Source organism: Homo sapiens, chromosome 3, assembly GCF_000001405.40.
Source record: "Homo sapiens chromosome 3, GRCh38.p14 Primary Assembly".
NCBI classification, from domain to species: domain Eukaryota; kingdom Metazoa; phylum Chordata; class Mammalia; order Primates; family Hominidae; genus Homo; species Homo sapiens.
The window spans coordinates 45,201,257-45,224,465 of NC_000003.12; the positions used below are offsets into that span (position 1 = coordinate 45,201,257).

General features: G+C 47.4%; 1 long non-coding RNA gene across 5 annotated transcripts, besides 2 other annotated features; it reads left to right on the plus strand.

Moving 5' to 3' along the window:
* LOC101928636 (uncharacterized) lies at positions 573 to 15,518 on the plus strand. Of its 5 annotated transcripts, XR_001740675.2 has the most exons (4): positions 573 to 768; positions 2,916 to 2,998; positions 11,102 to 11,270; positions 12,667 to 15,518. It is a non-coding gene; the product is annotated as an uncharacterized LOC101928636 (long non-coding RNA). The 5 variants fall into 5 exon arrangements; XR_001740676.2 differs by lacking the exons at positions 573 to 768; positions 2,916 to 2,998 and having other exon boundaries at positions 9,989 to 11,270; positions 12,667 to 12,725; positions 14,746 to 15,518; XR_001740677.3 differs by lacking the exons at positions 573 to 768; positions 2,916 to 2,998 and adding an exon at positions 9,989 to 10,902.
* Positions 13,828 to 14,328: an enhancer, noted in NCBI's record as "H3K4me1 hESC enhancer chr3:45256576-45257076 (GRCh37/hg19 assembly coordinates)". NCBI's record gives its function as "activates a minimal SCP1, AML or CMV promoter by ChIP-STARR-seq in primed H9 embryonic stem cells {active_cell/tissue: H9 hESC(primed)}" and the evidence as "EXISTENCE:reporter gene assay evidence [ECO:0000049][PMID:30033119]".
* Positions 14,329 to 14,829: an enhancer, noted in NCBI's record as "H3K4me1 hESC enhancer chr3:45257077-45257577 (GRCh37/hg19 assembly coordinates)". NCBI's record gives its function as "activates a minimal SCP1, AML or CMV promoter by ChIP-STARR-seq in naive H9 embryonic stem cells {active_cell/tissue: H9 hESC(naive)}" and the evidence as "EXISTENCE:reporter gene assay evidence [ECO:0000049][PMID:30033119]".
* Positions 15,519 to 23,209: the final 7,691 nt, after the last annotated feature.

The following is a 23,209-nucleotide window of genomic DNA, read 5'->3' on the forward strand; positions in this document are numbered from 1 at the left end:
GTCACCTGTTGCCACCACAGGTCTAGAAAGGGGATGTTTGGAAGTTTTATTTTGGAGTTTGAGTCCATGAGGCACGTAGAAGCCTTGAAGGCAGGCTGCAAATGTCCCCATTCAAGCCCAATCCCTTATAAGCACAAACCACAGATCACCTATTCCTTCTCCCTGGAATAAAACCCCTCAGGCCAGGCGCAGTGGCTCACGCCTGTAATCCCAGCACTTTGGAAGGCCAAGGCGGGTGGATCACCTGAGGTCTGGAGTTCAAGACTAGCCTGGCCAACATGGTGAAACCTCGTCTCTACTAATAATACAAAAATTAGCTGGGCGTGGTGGCAGGTGCCTGTAATCCCAGCCGCTCAGGAGGCTGAGGCAGGAGAATCACTTGAATCTTGGAGGCAGAGGTTGCAGTGAGCCAAGATAACGCCATTGCACTCTAGCCTGGGTGAAAAGAGCGAAACTCCGTCTCAAATAAACAAACAAACAAACAAACAAAACCCATACCCTCCATCTGTATCCACCTGAGAGCTCTCATACAGCTGCTTAAGACCCAATTCCTAAGTATCTCTCTTCTTCTGCAGGCCTTCTCTCTCAAGCAGATGCACTCTTATCCTTTGAGGCTGCAGATGCCAGGGACATGCTTCCATTGCAGCATCATCAAGATGGCTTGGGATCAAGATGACTTGGGCGCACTATCCTCCCTACCAGGCCCTGAGCAACACCATCATTTCTCATTCCTAATTCCCAGGAGAGCATGGCACAGAGAGGTGCTCAGTGAGTATTTGTTGACCTGAGTCAGACCAACGAAAGGAAAGACTTTTCAGACTTTGCAACCCTGATATTCCATGATGAATTAAAAAAGAAAAACAACCGAGGCAGTAAACTTTATTTTCAGGGTCCAAGTAAGTCTAAAATATATGTTTTAGGGCTGAAATGTTCACATTACAACTTGGATGTACATAAACATTTTGCTTACAATTTTTTCTCTAAGTGATTCTTGCTTTAAAACTTCATTTCTTTCTACCTAAAATCATCTTTAAAATTCAGTCTCTGCAATAGGCAACTATTTCTTAAATATAACTCAAAAGGCATTAAACATCAGGGGAAATTTTGATAAATTGGGCTACACTAAATTTAAGAACTTCCAACCATCAGAAGGTAAGACTATGAAAACGATGTCACAGACTTGAGAGGGCATTTGTTGATAAGTACATCTCACAGAGGATTCACAGGACATAAAGAACCCCTCCATGCCAATAGGCAATGTCAACAGCTCAGTACGGAAATGGGCAAATGACCTGAACTGGCAGTTCACAACAGAGAATGCAGTCACGCACCACTTAATGACAGGGGTATGATCTGAGAAATGGGTTGGATGATTCTGTCATTGTATAAATATCATACAGTGTACTTATACAAACCTAGATGGTATAGCTTACTATACACCTAGGCTATATGGTGTAGTCTTATTGCTCTGAAGCTACAAACATGCTCAGCATGTTACTGTACTGAATACTGTAGACAGCTGTAACACAGTAAATATTTGTGTGTCAAAACACACCTAAACATAGAAAAGGTATAGTAAAAATATGGTATTGTAAACATATAATATAATATAATTGTTGTATGTGCAGTCTGTCATTGACCAAAACATCATTATGTGGTGCATGACTGTATTTAAGTGGCTAATAGGGATATGAAACGCAGTTCAATCTAAAACCACAATGGATTACCACTACACACCTACTGGAATGCTAAAATTAAAAGGCTGGCCATCCTAAGTGTTGGAGAGGACATGGAACAACAGTAACTCCCTATCTACTCAATCAGAACACATAGAGACTCTATGACATAGACACACACTCCTGGGTATGTAGTAAACACAAATGAATGTGTGTGCTTACCAAAGATAATGTGCAAGAAGGGTGGGCACTGTGGCTCCCGCCTGTAGTCTCAATACTTTGGGAGGCTGAGGCAGGAGGATCATTTGAGGCCAGAAATTCAAGACCAGCCTGGGCAACACAGGGAGACCCCATCTCTACAAAAATTTTTTTAGGTTAACCAGGTGTGGTGGCACATATCTGTAGTCCCAGCTACTCAGGCGGCGGAGGTTGGAGGATTGCTTGAGCCTAGGAGTTTGAGACCAGCCTAGGCAACATAGTGAAAACCCATCTCTATAAAAAACACAAAATTTAGCCAGGCATGGTGGCATGTGCCTGTAGTCCCAGCTACTTGGGAAGCTGAGGTATGAGGATCATGCGAGCCTGGGAGGTCAAGGCAGTGGTGAGCCATGATGGTGCCTCTGCACTCCAGCCTTGGTGATAGAGTGAGACCCTGTCTCAATAATAATAATAATAATATACAAGAATGTGCATAGTAACCCTACTTGTAATTACCAAAACCTGGAAACTGCCTACATGTCTGTCATCAGTAGAGTGGCACCTCTACACCATGAGATGCCACGTGGTGATGGGAATGCATGAACCATGATGGCACGCAACAGCGTGGATGCATCTCACAAACATAGTAGTGAGCCACAGGAGCCAGCCAGAAAAGAGTACAAACTGCCTGGATTCATTGCATAAAGTTCAAAAACAGGCAAAACGCAAAACTACTCTATGCTGCTTGACACTTTCATTGACATACATCATACCTATAGAAAAGTCCACAACTGACCTGGGGTAGTGACTGCAAGGGAAATTAGCGGGGCTGTGGGTGCTGGTAAGTTCTGATTCTTGATCTGGGTGCTGGCTAGACAAGTGTCTTTAATCTACTATGAAAATTCATCAAATTGGGAGTTTTTGATTTGTGCACTTTTCTAATCCTTAAATAAAAAATTTACAAAAAAACCTTTACATAACTTTGCCCTTCAGCTGATTTGGATCGCACACTCCCTAATGGGGCCCTTTCTTCTCCTGAAGGCATCTTCCTGAGACTTATAGAAGAAGCCAAGGAGCTGAGAGCAGCAGAGACAAGAAACAGAGGGAGAGTGAGAAAGTCCCGGGTAAGTCTTGGCTCTTGTCTCTCTCTGAGCCCAGCTGCAGTCCCCCGCTTCCTGGGATTTGGTTACTTAATCCAGGAAATTCCCCTTTTGGCCCATGCTGGTTTGAAATGGGTTTATGCCCTCAACAATCAACAGAGTCCTGACTAATAGTCCCATTAGAGGTTTTTCCCAAAAGAAACCGACTTCCTTCAAAGGCACATTCAAACTCCTGGCTCTAAGAAGGCAGAAAAATGTGTTTACATTTATGTATGTATGTATTTATTTATTTATTTGAGACAGGGTCATTCTCTGTTGCCCCGGCTGGAGTGCAGTGGTGCAATCATAGCTCACTGCAACCTTCACCTCCCAGGCTTAAGCAATCCTCCCACCTCAGCCTCCCAAGTAGCTGGGACTACAGGTATGCACTACCGTGCCCAGATAATTTTTTATTTCTTGTAGAGATGGGGTCTCATCATGTTACCCAGGCTGGTCTTCAACTCCTGGGTTCAAGTGATCCTCCTGCCTTGGCCTTCCAAAGTGCGGGATTACAGGCATGAGCCACTGTGCCCAGCTTGTGTTTAAGTTTTAGAAGAACAGTACCCACCTCTTCACCCACTCCCCTTCTGATCATCAAGGTTGTCAAAAAGAAGGCTCGATCTCAACTTGGGCACCTATTCCACAAAGATTAGGACTGAGCACTTAACTGATGGTCCATGCGCAGGTGTTAACTCAATGAATAGGTGAACTAGATACGGCACAGTAATATGGTAGCAGGAAATACACATCAGAGCCAGGACATATCACCTCAGGTGCTGGCTTATATTTTATGAGGATGATATAGTATTTCTGGGAACCCTTACAGAGCTAACAAATATTCAGTCATTTGTCAGGTAAGTGGTATAAGCTATCTGATTGCAGAGATAGTTTTCAATATTTTCCTCATGGTTACAGTTCCAGAGCTTGATGACCTATTTGAATGTTTATAGAAACACAACCTTTCCAGGAGCAGCTGAGAGAGCTTGTTGCAAGCAAGAAGTGATTGTAATGTGGATATCACTGCAGGATGTGACATGACATGCCAGTGGAAAGATGTAGCAGATATCAGCAGGGGAAGTAGATCAGCAGAGTCACTTTAATGATGAAGGCTGTGGAAATGTGTGGAAATGGTTACAGAAAGCAGGAGGCAGTCCAGCTGTTTCACAGTGGGCAGGTCTATGCAAACCTGCCACAAAGTTTGAGGAAGCTGAGAAGCCAAAGAAAGAGGCTGACAAATCTGGTTTCATATATATATATATATATACACACACACACACGTATATACACACACACACATATATACACATACACATATATGTATAAACACATATATATTTTATTTTTTATATTTATTTATTTATTTATTTTGAGACGGAGTCTGGCTCTGTCGCTCAGGCTGGAGTGCAGTGGCGAGATCTTGGCTCACTGCAAGCTCCGCCTCCTGGGTTCACGCCATTCTCCTGCCACAGCCCCCCGAGTAGCTGGGACTATAGGCGCCCACCACCACACCTGGCTAATTTTTTGTATTTTTAGTAGAGACGGGGTTTCTCCGTGTTAGCCAGGATGGTCTCAATCTCCTGACCTCATGATCTGCCCGCCTCGGCCTCCCAAAGTGCTGGGATTACAGGCGTGAGCTACCGCGCCCGGCCATATATATATATATATATATATATATATATATATATATATATATATATATATATTTAAACAGAGTCTTGCTGTGTCACCCAGGCTGGAGTGCAGTGGCACTCTCGCTCACTGCAACCTCCGCCTCCCAGGTTCAAGAGATTCTCTCCTGTCTCAGCCTCCCTAGTAGCTGGAACTACAGGCATGCAGGCATGCACCACCACCATGCCTGGCTACTTTTTGTATTTTTAGTGGAGACAGGGTTTCACCATGTTGGTCAGGCTGGTCTCGAACTGCTGACCTCAAATGATCCACCTGCCTCAGCCTCCCAAAGTGCTGGAATTATAGGCATGAGCCCCTGTGCCCAGCCAAATCTGGTTTCTTAGAAAGAAACATTTAATAGGGTCTTAGGAACAGAAGCCATGTCTACTTCTCCAGTGGCAGCAAGACCAGATGGGGGATCCCTGCACCATCACCCCCCAAGACCCTGGGCTTATATACCACAAGGGAGGGGTGGGTTAGAAGGGACATGTAGGTCAATTGAAGTAGATAACATCAAGGTTGCTTGATCTAAGGGCAGGATTTATGGTAAGTACCTGCTCTAAACAAGGAACAATAAACTGGAAATCTTAGAGGACTTCCCAGAACAGCGGTTAATCAGAAGCTAACATGGTGGATTAACTTCCAGGATGGAGCTGTTGTAGCCTCAACACCAGCTTACTTACAGACACAGGTAAAGGTCCTCAGATCCCCAAATGCCCATGAGGACAGAGCTCCACAAGTGATGCCAACCTCACAGAGCAAGGGCTCTGCCAGGCACAAGGTGCCATCTGCCAATAGGAGGGGTGAAGGGGTTTATTGCTCCTACTTCTAGCCCTGCAACCCCAAGTATTTTGGAGACTGGCTACATACCTGTCCACTTACCAGGTGCAAGGTGTGGTACAGAATAACCCTAGCACATTCCTAAGAGTTCATCCTGAAAATGGATAGGGTAAAGTCCTATTTCCCAGGGGCACCCATCGCTGCAAAGGGTTTTTGCCCCACCTGGAGGGGCTTGGTAGGATATCTCTTGCCAAATTACATTCCAAATTGCCTTCACGAGGCCAGGCCTTTTTTTTTTTTTTTTTTTTTTTTTGAGACAGAGTCTTGCTCTGTTGCCCAGGCTGGAGTGCAGCAGCGTGATCTCTTCTCACTGCAACCTCCACCTCCCGAATTCAAGTGATTCTCCTGCCTCAGCCACCTGAGTAGCTGGGATTACAGGCATGTGCCAGCATGCCCGGCTAATTTTTTGTATTTAGTAGAGATGCGGTTTCACCATGTTGGTCAGGCTGGTCTCGAATTCCTGATTTCAGGTGATCGACTGCCTTGGCCTCCCAAAGTGCTGGGATTACAGGTGTGAGCCACTGCGCCTGGCCTCATCACTCATTCTTATAGCCTTTGTGCCATTAAGCCTGGACCAGGAAGCAGGGGTAAATCTCTCTAAGGAAGAGGAAGGTGGTGACAGCATTAATGAAAGGCTTCATTTTTCTGCTTTAAGTTTCAAAGTAGACTTAAAATCTGATAGCAAGACAATAGTCTCAAATGCCAGACTTTGCAGAGAGAGAAAGGGTTTTCTTAAAACCCCCAAGGCTGGGGTTTTTACATATCAAAAAAATCGAAGCTCAGAGAAATTGAGTGATCATTGAGTGAATCATGGAAGAAAGAAAAATGCAGATATGACAAAAGGGAAGTTTCTACCCTACAGGAAGAAGGACAGCTACTTTGAGACTTGGAGAAGGAGTTAAGAAATGGGACAAGAAAAGGCAGGCCAGGGGCAGGTTGTGAGTGTGCTGGTTTTTCCCGCCCCACCCATCAGGATCAAAGCTCCAGGTGTAAGAGACGATAGAAACACTCAGATAGTTTTAAAGACTCCACGAACATAAGGGCTGGTGCTCCCACTTCCCTGGGTATAGCCTGAGGAGTCTTCAAATCTCTCAAGGGAGCCTTTGGATCAGGCTAACGCTGCATCCAACATGGTGCCCAAGTCACAGAGCAGAAATGGCTGAGGGAGGCACTTCAGTGGCCTGGGCCTGAGACAACTCACCTGACATAGAACGTATGGGCTTGCCTGGGCGCGGTGGCTCAAGTCTGTAATCCCAGCACTTTGGGAGGCCAAGTCGGGTGGATCACTTGAGGTCAGGAGTTCGAGACCGGCCTGGCCAACATGGTGAAGCCCCGTCTCTACTAAAAATACAAAAAGCACACCTGTAGTCCCAGCTACTTGGGAAGATGAGGCAGGAGGATCCCTTGAACCCAGGAGGCAGAAGTTGCAGTGAGCCGAGATCGAACCACTGCACTCCAGCCTGGGCGACAGAGGGAGAGGCTGTCAAGAAAAAAAAAAAAAAAAAAAAGTAAAATAACATTTGAACTTGCATGAGTTGTGGAGGGAGCCCAGGAGTTCCTGTGTGCCAACAGGGGTTGGGGGCCAAAAAGTATCTGAGGTACTAGCTGGTGATTTCACCAGAACATCACCATAAAGAAGGCAAAGTGACTCTATAACGAAGAGCTGCAGAAAGGACTCCTCAAACCAGCAATCAAATAGCTTTCCCATGCAGCCCTTGGGGATCAGGAGTCACAGTGAGAGCCAGATGAGGCTGAGGCAGCAAGGTAAAGCCTCTAACCTTGCAGGCAGCATGTGATTGTGCCACAAGGCCAAGACCTGAAGCTAAGTTAGCTTCCCCTGCATCCAGCTGCCATCTTGGAATAAAGCGGAGAAAGGAAAATCCTTGCATTGGTGGAGAGACCCAGACACTATGTAATTACTCAAAAAGAGATTATTTTAAACCAGAGGAGGCTGAGATACCATAACAGTAAGATCAAAAATTTTCTTGCATGCAGCGGAAATGGGGTTTCAAGAGCTGGTTGGGATCTTATTGATGGTTGTGTTTTGCATATCTGAGCAAATTCTACCCTGACCACAGGATACTCATGACTTCCATAACTACATACTTATTTTTTTTCAATTATGATGGTAATATATATGATTTCATTGTAGAAAACTTGGGGGGAAATACTATAAAGAAGAAAATAAAAATAATTCTGTAATTTCACCAGCCATAGATAACCACTGTAAACATCTTGGTTTATTTTTTTCCCATCTTTTTTCTATGTATATGTGCATGTGTATGTGTATCACTGTGATTGTATGTGCATCTTACTTGTTCACAAGATTCTTTAATTTTTTTTTTTTTTTGAGATGGAGTCTCATACCTTTTTCTCAGGCTGGAGTGCAGTTGTGCAATCTTGGCTCACTGCAGCCCCGACTTCCCAGGCTCAAGTGATCCTCCTGCCTCAGCCTCCTGAGCAGCTCGGACTACAGGCGTGCGCCACCATGCCTGGCTAATTGTTTTTGTATTTTTAGTACAGATAGGGTTTCACCATGTTGGCCAGGCTGGTCTTGAACTCCTGACCTCAGGCGATCCTCCCACCTCGGCCTCCCAAAGTGCTGGGATTACAGGCGTGAACCACCGTACCCAGCCTTTGGATCTGCTTTTACTGATGCGTGAGTGTGTGGCCTCATCACCACTCCCAGCAGCTGGCACCTGTAACTCTTCTTTGTAGATCCAGTCTTGGGCTGCTGGAGGGGGCATTGCCTGAGAATTTACACTCCTCTGGGGCAGCCCTTCACCAATGACTGGTAGAATGTAGGAATGTAAGCCTTGTCCAGGTGCACGGGGTGGGAGGCAGGGGGATTCTGAGGGCTATTTATACTTGGGGTTCCCTGTGGGGCAGGCTAAAGCTATTCTCCCTGGGACTCAGCCTGAGATGACGCCCTAGCTTGGCTTTTCTGAGAGCACATCCTTCATAAATCACTTGCACACAAAACTCATCTCAATGTCTGCTTCTGGGAACCCGACCTAAGACAGCCAGTGATACATTTTTAAATGTTAAGATAAATATGAAGAAAATAAGAGGCTCTGTGGATATATTTAGGAATTTAAAGTTGGGTTTTACAGCTTAAGTAAACAAACAAAAAACAGAATCATGTATCTTGACATATCAGTCTGGAGTCAGAACCTTTTTTTTTTTTTTTTGAGGCAGAGTCTCACTCTGTCCCCCAGGCTGCCCAAAGTGCTGGGATTACAGGCATGAGCCACTGTGCCTGACCTGGAGTCAGAACTTTAACAGCAGAAAAACAGGAGTGGTACTCCTTTAAATCACGGACGGTCATTCTGTGTTTTTTGGGGAGACTGATGCTAGGTCCCAGTGGTCTCCTGCAGGGGCTGGAACCACCCCAGAGAAAGGAGAGCAGGCTTCTGTCCCTTCTTGCTGCACTTGCAAATAACACAGGTCAGCCCAGGGCCAGAACCTTGGGGCAGCTCCACCGAAGGAGCTGTCCTGTTGCCCCTGATCCTTCCGTCCCAAGTCCCAAGCCCAATCCTCACACCAAGGCAAGGTGGGGAGGAGGCAGAGGTTGTGGGGGTGTGGGTGGGTGGGGGTCCTTATGTCCCACAGTACGGGAGCTGGACCAGGAAGATGGAATTTGCTACCCTGAGTGACCATAGAGAGGGTTTCTAGAACCTCAACTTTGCAGGCAGGTTTAGAAAGTACGCTTGTCCTCCCACTGCTAACAGCTGGGGAAGTGCGTGTGTGTGTGCTGCTCCAACAGCTCAGAAGTCCTGGGAGCTTTTAAAAACTTCCCAATCCAAGTTCTGCCTACTGGGCTCCAGCCTTCCTCAGAAAGACACTTCTGAAGGCCGACTGCTCGGTTCTTCGAAGTAGCTCAGCCAGACCTGACGACACCACTGGCCTGCGGGTAGATTCTCTGCAGGGCCAGCCTGCACCTCCCAGCAAGGGCACCACCTGGTGGCGGGCACTCTGTGGGATGGGCTCTCTCTCTCTCTCTCTGTTGGGGGGGGTGTGTGTGTGTGCACGCGTGTGTGTGTTTAGGTGGAGGGTAAAGTGGATGGGGAGGGGATTTACCCTCTGCAGCCTCAGGCTTCCCTGGCAAGCCACCGCCTTGGACATGACATTTGCTGGCTTGGCTGGGGCCCTGTGGCCAGATGTCAGAATTTAAGTTCTGCGCTTAGGGCTTGTGCAACCTTAGACATTAAACGTCTCTAAGCCTGTTTCTTATCAGTAAAAGGAAGATCAAAGTACCTAGCTCTTTGGGTTCTTTGTTAAAAATAAGATTATGCTTTGGATTCCTCAGAAATAGATCCTGAGAGATTCAGACATAAGTAGTTTATTTGAGAAGTGACTCCAGGAAAAACCACTTGGGGAGGGCGATGTGAGCCAGGAGTGGGGAAGAAGATGGCAAGAGTGACTTATCCAGCAAGTGTTTTGCCACTGAGGGCACCTGCACACCATCCCTCTCAGTAGGACCTTGCCTGAGGGGCAAGGGAGCTGGGGTATTTATCCACAGATTCCCATCATTCACTGTGGGAGGACCACTCCTGGGGTGCCTTAATGCCTCAGCTCTCTCATTATTTGACACGTGGGCACGGTGGGCACCAGCAACCAGAGAGGATCCTCAGATAGATTCGGAAATGATGGCATTCGGAAGTTGGGACAACATGTATGGAAATGGTTAGTGGGGAGGGGGGATGGCTGGGGCACCACCAAAGTCTTCTATATGCATGATTAAAAATTCTCAGAACATAGTAACATTTCAATAAACAATAGCTATTTATAATAGTACACATCCGTGGTCCCCGGCAAAGTGTGACACAGCTGATAACCTAGAGGTAGGTCCAGATAGGCTGTGTGCCATGGGAGCGCTAGGCACCAACAGCCCTACAGCAGGTGTTTAGTGTCCCCTCTTGTATATATAGGGGAACTGAGGCTCATGGAGCATGAGAGCCTTGTTGAGGGTCATGAGGCCGATCGTGCCAATGTTGGTCTCCTGCGAGCTGTGCTGCTGCTCCCACCAGTCCAGGACTGTAAAGAGTTTTCATCCTGTGTCTGTGTTAAAATGTGCTCTCTCTGAGCCCCACCATGACAGCGCAGAAATTTGTTTCCATCTGTAAAATGTCAAGGCTGAATCTTTTATGTTCTGCCCTGGGTCTGTGCCCGATAATGAACTCCATCCAAGCCCTGTGGCTGCCTCCAGCCCACGAGACTCTTTGGAACAAAACGAATAATTCTCAGTGGCAGGAGAGAGTGAGGGAATGGTTTCATCACTCTTTTCCTGCACGACTCAGACCTGAGAGAAAAGAAGAGGGAATTGGCAGAAATAGAAGGCGGCAGGGACGCTCTCTCACTTGTTCCCTGCAGTCATGCCTGTATGGAATTTGGGAGTTTGCTGGACCAGGGGGGCTGCTTTGGGTACACTGGGAGCAGAAACCTGGGGTTCCATCACCTGCCTCATGGCGGGGCATCGAGTCTGCTCTCAGCTCTCTTTCCTGAACACCATTGCCACATCTGTCTGTGCTGGTGACGAAAGAGAGAGAAGCCTCAACTGTCTCCTTTGTACTGCACTAGGCCATTCCGCAACTCAAGCAGGAGAAAAACCCAGGAGTGGGGTGGCGTAGGCGGGGCCACCACAAGGAGCCCGTGCATCAGGGGGCGCAGGCTGTTTCTGGATCATTCCACTGGGAAGGGGACAAAACCCATCTTTTATGACCCATGTTCAGTTCTCAGTTGGAGTCAGGTAAGCCTTTCCCTTATTCTTATTATTTTAAAAATGTTTTCTAAAATTGTGGTATGACATACATAATATGCAATTCTTTTATGTTTGTTTGTTTATCTATTTATTTATTTATTTTGAGATGGAGTTTCGCTCTTGTTGCCCAGGCTGGAGTGCAATGGTGCGATCTTGACTCACCGCAACCTCCACCTTCCGGTTTCAAGCAATTCTCCTGTCTCAGCCTCCCAAGTAATTGGGATTACAGGCATGTAATCCCACCACGCCTGGCTATTAAATTAATATTTAACCCTTTTAAAGGATATGATTTGGTGGCATTAATTACATCCACAATATTGTGAAACCACCACCACTCTCTGGTTTCAAAACTTTTTTATCATCCCAAACAGAACCAACTAGGCTATAAGATAGTCCTGGGTGAGCCAGGTCTCCAGTTGGGACATGTGTTTCTAAAGGAGTGTGGAGAGGAAGTAAACTCTTAGGTATGTTTTCCTTTAAAATCATGACAACAGTACCTATGGGAGAGGTACTGTTATTATTCCCATTTTACAGAAAAGGAAACTGAGGCCTAGAAAGCAGCTGGCCAGTGCCAGGGCTAGTATTTGAAATAGACTAGTCTGGCCTCACTGGGCACCACCTCCACCCCACCTGGCTGGTCCCACTTCTCACTCCATTCTGCTGGAATCATTCCATGAGCTAAAATGTCTAACGATGTTGGGCCTTTGACTTCCCTCTGAAGGGAATTGGTAGGCTGAGCTGAATCTGCAGGGTTTCGGCCATCTCATCTGGCAAATTAAGTGTGACATGGGGGTTCCGGAATGAAGTGGATGTGAATTGTAAAGAACACGGGCTTATTTGAGCCTAGAATCGGGCCAGTCATGGATCTGCATTGAAAAGGGACTTGGGGAGCTGTATGAGTGGGGCTGGGCCATTCCTGGAGTGGCGAGGCCTTCCTGGAGGACCCCACATCTGTTTGCTGCTTCAGCACAGGAGAGAGACTCTTTGAGGGGATGCAAACCTGGAGAGTCCCCTCCCCACACTGAAGGATCAGAAACCATGGAGGGTCCTTGCCCCAGTGCAGCGGCAGAGCCTGTGGCCCCAGCCCTACGCGGTGCTGGGACTCTCCATTTCAGTGGGGTGGTCAGAGGGGAGGCAGAAGGCCCCGAGAAACCTTTCCTTCAACATCCCCAGGGCCCCAGAGTGAACCAGACTCTAGGTGGTGGGAGAGGGGATGCTTGCAAAAGATCAAGAACAACAGCCCTGAAGATTTTCAATAATCAGTATTAGTAAACCTCACTCATGAAGCACTTTCTATGTGCCAAGGAACACCCTAGGGGTTCTTCATAATTACTCTTCCCAACTCTCTGGCTGCTGGGTAGGTATTATTTTCTCTGTTTTACAGATGAGGAAGAGAATGCCCAGCAAGGTAAAATGGCAGAGCTAAGATGCAAACAAACTCAGGTCTGCAATGCCCAAACCCCTGTTCCTTTCCCTCCTTGTATCTGAAAACTCTTCTTGGCACCAGGGGAGGTGCATCTGGGAGTGGCTGTGTCTGCCTGCATGTTGATGCTGGTGGCATGCACGTGTGTGGGCCAGGAGGTGGGTCTGTGACATCCTGGGTGAAAGGCAGTGGAGCGAGGGCTTCTCTGGCATTGCTGATGGCTACCTGAATCTCCTGTTTCTCTGGGCCGGCTCTCTAGCAGCCAGGTGGGGACGCACATCTCGATCTGCCCTCAGGTGCTCTAAACCGAGGTGAAGGTTCACAAAGCCGCCAGAACAGCTGCTTTTTCCTTGCAGATGCCTATCTGGAGGGGGTGTCTCTTGGCGACAGGAATGGCATTTCCCACAGAGGTGTTGGTGGCGCTTAAAACCCCGTTTAGTCAGGCCACACAGGAAATCTGCCCAATGTTTTCTGAGCCTGGGCTGGAAGAGGCCTGCAAGGAAACCACAGGAACACACAATTTTTGCTCATAATGCAATTCAACAGAGAGTTCTTGAAGGCCTGTGTGGGCACATCTCTGAGACACCAAGATGGTAAAATTCCAGGATTCTCCCCACACCCAGGGAGGACAACCTAGCTGCCCCACTGTGCACTTTGGAGGCACAGCCCTCATTAGATTGCTGTGAGGATTTGGAAGGTCAAGTTCCTGGCATCTACAACCCATGCTAATTTCTTCTCTTCCTTACTTTAGAGCATGATATTCATTGCTAACTGACAAAGAAATCATTTTTAAAATGTGAAACATTTCTTCTTTCTTGTTTACCTCATTGACTTGAAAAAAAATCTTTACTCCATGGCCCTGGTCATTTGAATAGAAAAATGCAAAAATCATAATGATTTTATAGATTATTAGAGCCACGCAAACAGCCAATTTAGACAATCCAGGGCAAAATACATTCTGATATCTTAAGCATCCTCTTTTCTTACTTGTACATGTTTCCCCTTCAAGTCACTCAGAAAAATGAGAGGACTTGGCCTCTGTTTCAGTCTACCTGCTGGAAAAATCCTCGAGGGAAGTGTCTTTGTGGTGGATGTGGTCTGACTTGGCCTGGAAGATGGGGAGGGAAAGCCTGAACACAAAACTGCAGGCCTGCGAGGGACTGGGGCCTTACCTGCCCCAATCCCCTTGTTCTGTAGAGGAGGAGACGGAAGCTCAAGCTGCAGCCAAACAGCTCATGCATGGCAGGGCAGGTACTGCAAGCAGGTGTCCTGGGGTCCTGTCCCATGCTATTACCAGCCTGCTGGTGGCCTCAGCAAATTCCCTAATACTGAGGGGCTTCCCTTATAATGCACATACTGGGGAACCAGGACTTTGCACGCAATGACAGATGGCAGGGACTTCTGACCTCATTAGGGAGGGCCGGCATGACAAAGCCAGCTGTACCTCAGTGGGCCCCAGTGCAGGACACCAGAGACAAGACCACCCAGCCAGATCTCCTCGAGACTGGCAAGGCCTGGTGGTCAGCATTGTTGGCCGGAGAGGGAGTTGAAACTTTGATGGGCACATTTAAGCTTCATGTCCTCTGGGCACCCCCCACTCCACCATTGATGGGAATGGCACTGAAGAACACTGTGAGGTCTGCAGTGAATGCTGCAGGCACCCCATCCACATTCCTCTTACAGCTGCTCTGAGTGTAGGCTGCAGACTTCTCCCAGCTGCCTCCCCTTCTAGAGAGCTGGGCCCAGCTAAACGGAAGCTGCCAGGGAGGCTGTGCTGACTCCTCTACCTAGAATTTGACCCGTGATTGGTTAAAGTGGAAATACAAAAGACCAGCCCTTTGTCTCAAGGTGCAGCAACTGTGGTGCACGGCCTGCTCCAGAGGTTCCCCTGGGGTCAGGCTGAAGCCCACATCAGCTGAGACCACGTGCTTGCTTTGCTACTTCCCCTGCCCCATTCTGCTTCCCTCACTCCCCTTCTCCTGAAAGCATGCCCCAATTCATCGCTTGGATGAGACTCTCCATCTCAGGCTCTGCTTCTAGGGAACCCAGTCTAAGTCACGATCCATTCTGGAAGACCTTAACACTTTCCACTGACTGTGAGAGCTGCCGAATACATTTTGACCCATGGGTGGTTCCTGTCCTTGGTGATTCCCCGACCTCTGGTGAGATCTTTTCCTCTCTGGCAAGCCTCTGGATGTTCTGACTTCAGAGGGGTTCTGGCTGCAGCTTTAACTCAGCCATATGTTGTGACAGCTCTTGGAGCAGCATTACACGGGAGCAATATCCTTCCTGCTAATTGGATCTCAGAATTCATTTTCGGACCAAAGACATCAAATAAACCCAGGAAATACGAAGCCGTTTGCAGTTATGACTTGAGACGAATTGAGTTGTTCATCCTCTAAAGTTGTGTTCTGTTCCTTATCAGCCTCATCTGAAATCTCAGACACAAAAGCAGAGATGTTTCTGCCAGGAGGGGCGGAAAGTTCGGTCTGGTTTTGATATGTGTCTGGAGATGATAAACTTGGGAAGGGAAATATAGCAGATCCAATCCTCCCTCCCCCATCTCCATTAGGTCTTTGGCCTTGATAGATTTCAATATCCTGTGCAGCTGATGTCTGACCCACGCATCAAGAATACAGCCTTCACACACCTGCCGTGAGAAGCCCTCTATGACCTTCTGCAGAGGGAGGGAACTGCCTAAGAGCTGCTGAGTGCAGGAATGCAGGGTGCTAAGAAGCAGGTACCCAGTTTGGGGTTAAAATATGTATAATATATCCATTTGAATACCCATCAATAAATATCAGTCATGCTCACTTTTGGGTGCTGGGGGTTATTGGAGATATTGATTCATTTGTTTTATGAGTGGTATTTTCTAATTTTTCTATGATATAACACTGGTCTAGTAAAGAAATACAAGTTTTAAAAGCAGTTATGCACAACACAGTTCCTTTTTTTTTTGAGATGGAGTTTGGCTTTTGTCTCCCAGGCTGGAGTGCAATGGCGTGATCTCAGCTCACTGCAACCTCTGCCTCCCGGGTTCAAGCAATTCTCCTGCCTCAGCCTCCCGAGTAGCTGGGATTACAGGTGCCTGCCACCACACCGGGCTAATTTTTGCATTTTTAGTAGAGATGGGGTTTCACCATGTTGGCCAGGGTGGTCTCGAACTCCTAACCTCAGGTGATCCACCCGCTTTGGCCTCCCAAAGTGCTGGGATTACGGGCATGAGCCACCACGCCTGGCCATTTCCATTTTTTAATTTGAATAATTACTTATGGTCACACACACGTGTAAAACAAAACTGCAACTACATGCACCAAAATGTTTGCAGGGCTTAGTTTTGGGTAGTAGGAAGATGTGTGGTCTTTTCTTTCTTTTTTACTTAGCAAGGTATTCTATGACTTCAGGCAATGCTGTATGGTAAAATATCCATTCTCAGTCTCTGATGGACCTGCACAGTGTTAACCAACACAGGTCCCCTCTCAGGGACATGGTGATGGCCTTGCACTGGCATGGTGGTATGTGCCTTTCAGGCTGAGTGAGACACTGGAACTCAGTGATCCAAGGAGAGAGGATGGAGCTAGTCCCCTTGGGATAGCTCTGCAGGATAGAAGCCAGCAGAACCTGCTCCCAGCCACCAGGCAGGCTCCTGCCCATGTGCCCCTCCTGCCTGGAGTCTTCCCATGGAGGGTCCTCCATGTGCATGTTCTGCTCTCCATTCTCCCCGTGCCTCAGCCTCCAGCTCCAGGGCACCCACTCCATTCTCCCCTGTGCCTTGCGGTGGGAGCATTTGGGTCTCTCATTTTGTGCGAGTGCGGGGCTGATGAGAAAGGGGATCATCTTTCTGTTCTTAGAGCTGATGTTTCAATTCTCTTTTCCTTCTCTCCTCTTAGTTATTGCCTTTCCTTCTATTTCTTCTGCTTCTTCCCTCTCCAGTCCAAGGGAACCGTTATTAGTAATCATATTTATTATGATTACTGTATAATAATCATATTTATTATTATCACTATTTTCTAGTGTAGTCCTCCCTCAGCAGCTGCAGAGTTATCTAGAAACACAGGAGGGAAGATAGGGCGTAATGTTAAATTCTATGGTAAGAAAATCAGCATCTATCTTGCAAGAACAAATAATACATGGAATTAACTTGAGCCAGGGAATTCCTGAGGATCATAAATATTCTGAAATAAGATTCCAAGGTACTACAATAGCAAGACCACAGTTCTAGATCCTTACACAGTGTGGATCATGATTTAAGTCCAGAGTGGCTACCATAGAAGGCAGCCCTATAGGTAGGCTGGAAATCACAAATGTTACCCCCGGGATAGAAAAGTGCATTGGTAACAGTGGTGGCTCAGAGGGGCCTGGAGTGCCATCGCAAGGGGACTCTGGGGGCTCTGTCAGGTTCTAAACAAGTTTCTCCAACCTGCAGCCACTTGACCTCTAGATTGGGGTTGGGGTATTTGGGGGGTTGGAGAGATAGGGCCAGCAGCCTTCTGTCCCATGCCCACTGACCCTCAGGAAGTCTGATAGGACTGCCAGTAGCCCAGCAAGGACTCTAATCACAGAACAAAAGGGGTCCTGGTGGGGCACCTGGAAGGTAGGTTATTTTCTAGAGTGCCAAAAAAGCTTGCTGGGAGGCATGTTGTCTCCATAGTCAAAATGAGGCCTTGGCATGTTATCAAGATGCCAATCATTTTGATTTTTATCACTGATCCTGTGAAAGCACACAAAAGAATGCATCTTTGGCAGCACTCTAGTGCTTTGAGAGACAGTCCTGGGAATGCTCAGGCAATAAGAACGCCAGGAAAATACTAAGGGTGAGACGAGGAGAAAGGCCTTTAATTGTCCTGAGTGAACAGCCATGCCACCTGTCCTCAGACGACCACAGGAAATCCCCACCCTCCTCAAAATAACCTTGGGCCTTGTCCCATCCCGGGGTGTGGCAGAAAGCATCCAGTGTCAGCACAGGCTTGGAGGATGCCTAGGCTTGGAGGGGATGGTGCACTGGCTGGATCGATTGGGCTGAGGGTTATGTGATCTTGATAGCTGGAAGTGAGGGGCAGAAAAGAAGGCAGCCTCTTAGAAAGACCAGAAACAGAAGATTGCGGCGAAAGCATGGGGGCCTGCTGTCTGCAGAGACCTTGGCTGTAAAGAAAACAGCAGGAGCTGACCGAGGACAGTGTTGCTGTGTGGGGAATGGACAAAAAATTTGTAAATTTAAGTTACTCACCAGACACGGTGACTCATGCCTGTAATCCCAGCACTTTGGGAGGCCAAGGTGGGCGGATCCCTTGAGGTCAGAGTTTGAGACCAGCCTGCCCAACATAGGGAAAACTGTCTCTACTAAAAATATAAAATTAGTCGAGTGTGGTGGCAGGTGCCTGTAGTTCCAGCTATTTGGGAGGCTGAGGCAGGAGAATGGCTTGAATCTGGGAGGCAGAGTTTGCAGTGAGCTAAGATGGTGCCACTGCACTCCAGCCTGGGCAATAGAGTGAGATGCTGTCTCAAAAAAAAAAAAAAAAAAATTAAGTTACTTAGAGCTAATGGGAGATGGTAAGACCAGACGGGTGAGCGTCTTGAAAATGTCTGAGAGCTGGAGGCAAGTAGGAAACTTGTACTTGGGGTAAGAACCAGAGAAAATACCAAGAACAAGAATCCCCGCAGAATGGAGCCTTGGTGAGGAGAATCCAGCGGACCTTAGGCGTCTCCTCATGTGTGGAGGCTGCACAAAGCAGTTTTGCCCTAAAACCAAAGACCCAGCAAGGAAGACCCAAGAAGGGAAGGTGATGTCTGGTAAGTGCCTGCCCACAGTGGACGCAGTAAGCAGCCGTGTTCCAGTTTAAGGTTTGTTCCCCAGCAGTCCCACACATGGTGAAGGGGTTCGGCACTCCCAGCCCAGAATGAGCCCTGTATTGCACTGGGAGAGATGTCCCAGAAGAGGCGCAGCAGAGCCGGGAAGGGCGAAGGCACTGTCTATAGAGCCAGTCTGCCCTGGGGTGGGGAGTTGAAGGGGCGGGGGCTGAACAGAAGGTCTACCAGCAAGAGACCAGAGGGTAGTCAGGAATAGGCCCCACTGAGCACCCATGACAAGGTGCACACAAGGGCCGCCAGCCCCAGTGAGCTGGGTGAATTTGGGCAGTTAGCCTCTGTTATCCCCTCCTTTTCCTAGTGGCTTCTCCGGCCAGAGGAAAAGGCTTAGCTGTGAAATGAATGCCATTTACATTGCTCTTAACTCTCCCAATCCTTTTAGCTCAAAACCTCTTAATCTAGCTGGGAAATGGAGGATATTGGCCCCCAGAAAAAGGAGAGAATAGGAGAGTGAAGACCCACCTCTTCATGCCCCTGATGTTAATGAATCTGGAGGAGGGGCTAGGCCAGGAGAGCCGAGATGCTTGTTCTGACACACTCTCCTTGCTCCCCATTTTGTTTCTAACTATTCTCCTATCCCTCAAGATTCCTAGACCGTGGGGATCCAGAGTGCAAATCTTCCAGATTAAGTTCTTTAGGGATATCCCCTCCTCTATTTTTGGAAAGCTACCAAGCTGATACCGCCATTGTCTGTCAAATGCCCCAGGAGCAGCAGGTAGCTTCCAGCATGGCCAGGTGGCATGGGTGTCAGAGGAGGAGAGTCTAGAGCCAGCACTTCTAGAATGATCCTTTGTCTACTCACCAAACCAAGTCCTGTAATTCTTCTGGGTGGCCACAGATCACACAGGTATGGCAGTGCTGAAAGTCGTGGTTATCATTAATGTTGCTCACTGATGCCAGTTTTCCTCTCCCTTTGGCCACCGGGAAATGTGAACTCCTTGGCTCCCTTGTGATGGGTGGGGCCACATGACAATTCTCATCAATGAGCAGAAAGGACGTGACTTCCTGCCTGGAGCATACTGAATTGCCAGTGTGAGACCCTCCAGGATTTGCTTCCTCCTACCTAGATGATGGCGGCCACCTTGTTGAGCCAGAGTCCCCATAATCTGGGTCCCTGAAGGATTCCAAAGGGCAGAACTCCTGCCACCTTTGGACAGCATGAGCAAGGAAAAAACCTTTTTTTTTTTTTAGACAGAGTCTTGCTCTGTTGCCCAGGCTGGAATGCAGTGGTATGATCTCGGCTCACTGCAACCTCACAGGGGTTCAAGCGATTCTCCTGTCTCAGCCTTCCAAGTAGATGGGACTATAGGTGCGTGCCTATAGTGCATGCCCGGCTAATTTTTGTATTTTTAGTAGAAATGGAGTTTCACTGTGTTGGCCAGGCTGGTCTCAAACTCCTGACCTCAAGTGATCCACCCACCTTGGCCTCCCAAAGTGCTGGGATTACAGGGGTGAGCCACCGCGCCCGGCCTGGAATAAACCTTTCTTGCACAAGCCACCAGAAGCTGAGATTGCTTATTACTGGAGCATAACCTGGTGTATCCTGACTGATAAGGTGATGTGAGGGGGAAAGAAACAAGGCATCCTCCTTTGATTCTGGTTATTAGAGAACTATCCAGACGGAAGAGAAAAAGTAGAAATGTGTGATCTGTGTAAAAGAAATGCAAATGAGGCCGGGCGCGGTGGCTCACGCCTATAATCCCAGCACTTTGGGAGGCCGAGGCGGGCAGATCATGAGGTCAGGAGATCGAGACCATCCTGGCTTACACGGTGAAACCCCGTCTCTACTAAAAATACAAAAAATTAGCTGGGCGTGGTGGCAGGCGCCTGTAGTCCCAGCTACTTGGGAGGCTGGAGCTGGAGAATGGCGTGAACCCGGGAGGTGGACCTTGCAGTGAGTCAAGATCGCACCACTGCACTCCAGCCTGGGTGACAGAGTGAGACTCTGTCTCCAAAAAAAAAAAAATGCAAATGAGAAGCATTTTTGTGATGTGCTCCTCATATGTGCCTAATGACCACATGGCTAGAACAATTCTGCACGTTGTTGGGTAAATTGCCTGTCACAGGTGGGGTTCCTCAAGAAGCAGTCTGTGAGATAGAGATCACTGTGCAAGAGGCTTATTAGGGAGTGTGGATTAAGGCCTGTGGAAGGGAAGGAATGGGAGGAGGCAGACGTGGACAGAGGGAGTAGTTCAACTCCATGAAATCTCCATGGACACCTCAGCCAGCCCTGAGGGAAGTCAGTCTTGAATGGAAGAGGGGCGGGCGCTGGAGGGTAGTGGAGGACCCTTCAGAGCTGCCCCAGTTGTGGCCAGAGGGCTGGGTCTTTCTGCCCCTGTGTTGATCAGTCATTGGATGTGGTGCCCCAGGTAGGAGGTGCGGCTTTAGACAGGGTGGTCTCTTCCGCTGAGGCAAGACCCAAAGAAGACTAAAGTGTTCAGATCTGGGGCTGGAGGCAGCTCTCTGGATGAAAGCAGAAAACTCAGTAAGGCAGCCTTCGGCAGCAGCTGGATATTAAACAAGGGGTATCCATTCTCCCCAGGAGTAAACTTTCTCTCAGGAGAAGCAAAAATAACTGACAATGATGATTTATCCTGGGGACTCCGCTATATCATTTGCAACTCAAGCTGGCCCCACGAAGCTTTATAAATGGGCTGGAATCTGGGGGTGCCATGTGCACATGTACACAGGCTAAAATGGCACACGTCTTTTCCTGTCATAGAACTCCTGACTTATCCTTAGTAAATTACGTACTTGGAAGCGTTTCACTACTGAGATGATGCAAATCAAACTGACTAGAAAATACAGACCCCACAGATGAACTTGTCAAGGCCTGACTTCCTTTACCCAGTGGGCGACTACAGCTGAACAAGATCAAAAGGACCTACAGGCTCTGTCCTCACTTTCTGGGACTAACTAGTCCATCAGTGATACACACACACACACACACATAGCCCAGAACACACATGCACACATGCAGGTTCCACTGGCAATTCTGAAAGTCAATAGATGTTGATATTTCAATCACCCCTAAAAGGTAGATGTTAGGGCCCATATATAGAAAGTTCCATTAAGTGCCTGAGTGTCTCATTTAAAATTAATGCTATCAGGTTCTTTGGGGTTTGTAGCTACACAAAATCTGACATTGGCTAGGGTAGGTCAACAAAACGGTGGACCTTGAGCAGTGAGCTCCTAATTTTCCTGGGAAAAGAAGTTTCTAGTGACGAACAATACCATTCAGGGAGGCAGAAATCCTGGATTTAGTCTCAGCTCTGCCTCGTGTAGCTGTGTGATTGTAGACAAGATGCTCAATCTCTCTGAGCCATGGTATACATCTTGGAAAAAAGCAGGGAGAGTGATTACATGTGTGTACAAAGAATACATAATGTGTCTCCAGAGTTATAAATGCTATGATTACATTAAATTGATCAAGGTTAGCAAAATTATTGACTTTTCTCCTGCCAGTTACCACAGGGTTAAAAAATGGTGATGCTTACAACCTACAAAGATCAATACTCCACCCTCTCCCCTCTCAGGGGCTGGTACCTGCTACAGATATCTCAGGACCTCAAAGAGTCAAAGGGGCAGCTGAAGCTGCAGGGCAATGACCCAGCCTCTCCTTCAGCCAGATTGCTGGGAAAATAAGCATCCCATTTATTTGATATAATAGACATCTCAAGATAAAAGGAGACAACCTACATTTGAGGGTTCCATTCCACTAGAACACAGCAGAGCAGTTCTCAAACTGGTAATGCATAGGAATGCCTTGGAGGGCATGTGAGAACACAGATTGCTAGGCTTTATCCCAGAGTTTCGGATTCTATAGGTCCTGGGTGGAGCCCAAGTTTTGCATCTCCAAGTTCCCAGGTGATGCTGATGTTGCTGGTCCAGGGACCAGGCTTTGAGAACTATAGCTCTAGACCAATCTCAGATATGCTTGCAAAATGAGGACGAGATGGAGCAAGGGAAAGCAGCTTTCAAAGTCTCTTAAAAACGCTTTTAAAATAATTTTTAATATTAAGTCTCTTTAAGGACTTTTTACTTATTCTTCTGAAAACCTGGAAGAATTTGAAACTACTACACAGCAGACACTGTAACATGGAAACCAAGAGTGAGGAAAATCTTGTGATCATTAACTATTTATCCCCCAAGAGTTTATCTTTTTAAAAAATCTAAATGCCAAAATAATATCTCAGGTTTTAATACCAGCTTTTGGAATGTGCTTATCTGCTAAAGTTCATGCATATGAAAAGAAATCTACATGCCTTTTAAAGTGAGTCATTTTCGTGAAAGCCATCCAGCTCAGAGGAACTATTGATTTTACCATTTTGATGCTTGCCTGGGTGTTTTGCAGAGCTTAGAACAATGAGCAAAAAGTTAAATCATATAAAACTGTGTTTGCCACCGTGACAGGTGGGGGGTGGATGGGAACTGAGGGTCAGTGTGGTGAGATGCAAGACAATCGCCATCAGGGCAAATAATACTGTTTCCATCTATCTCTCACAGCCAGGTAAAGGAGACAGAAGTAGCCCTTCTCTAACTTTTCCGAGATTCCCTTGCTCAGGTTTTAGGGTAACGTCTTGCAATTCTGGGATTCCCTTTCCCAAATCAAATAAAGAAAAAGCTACATACACATCTC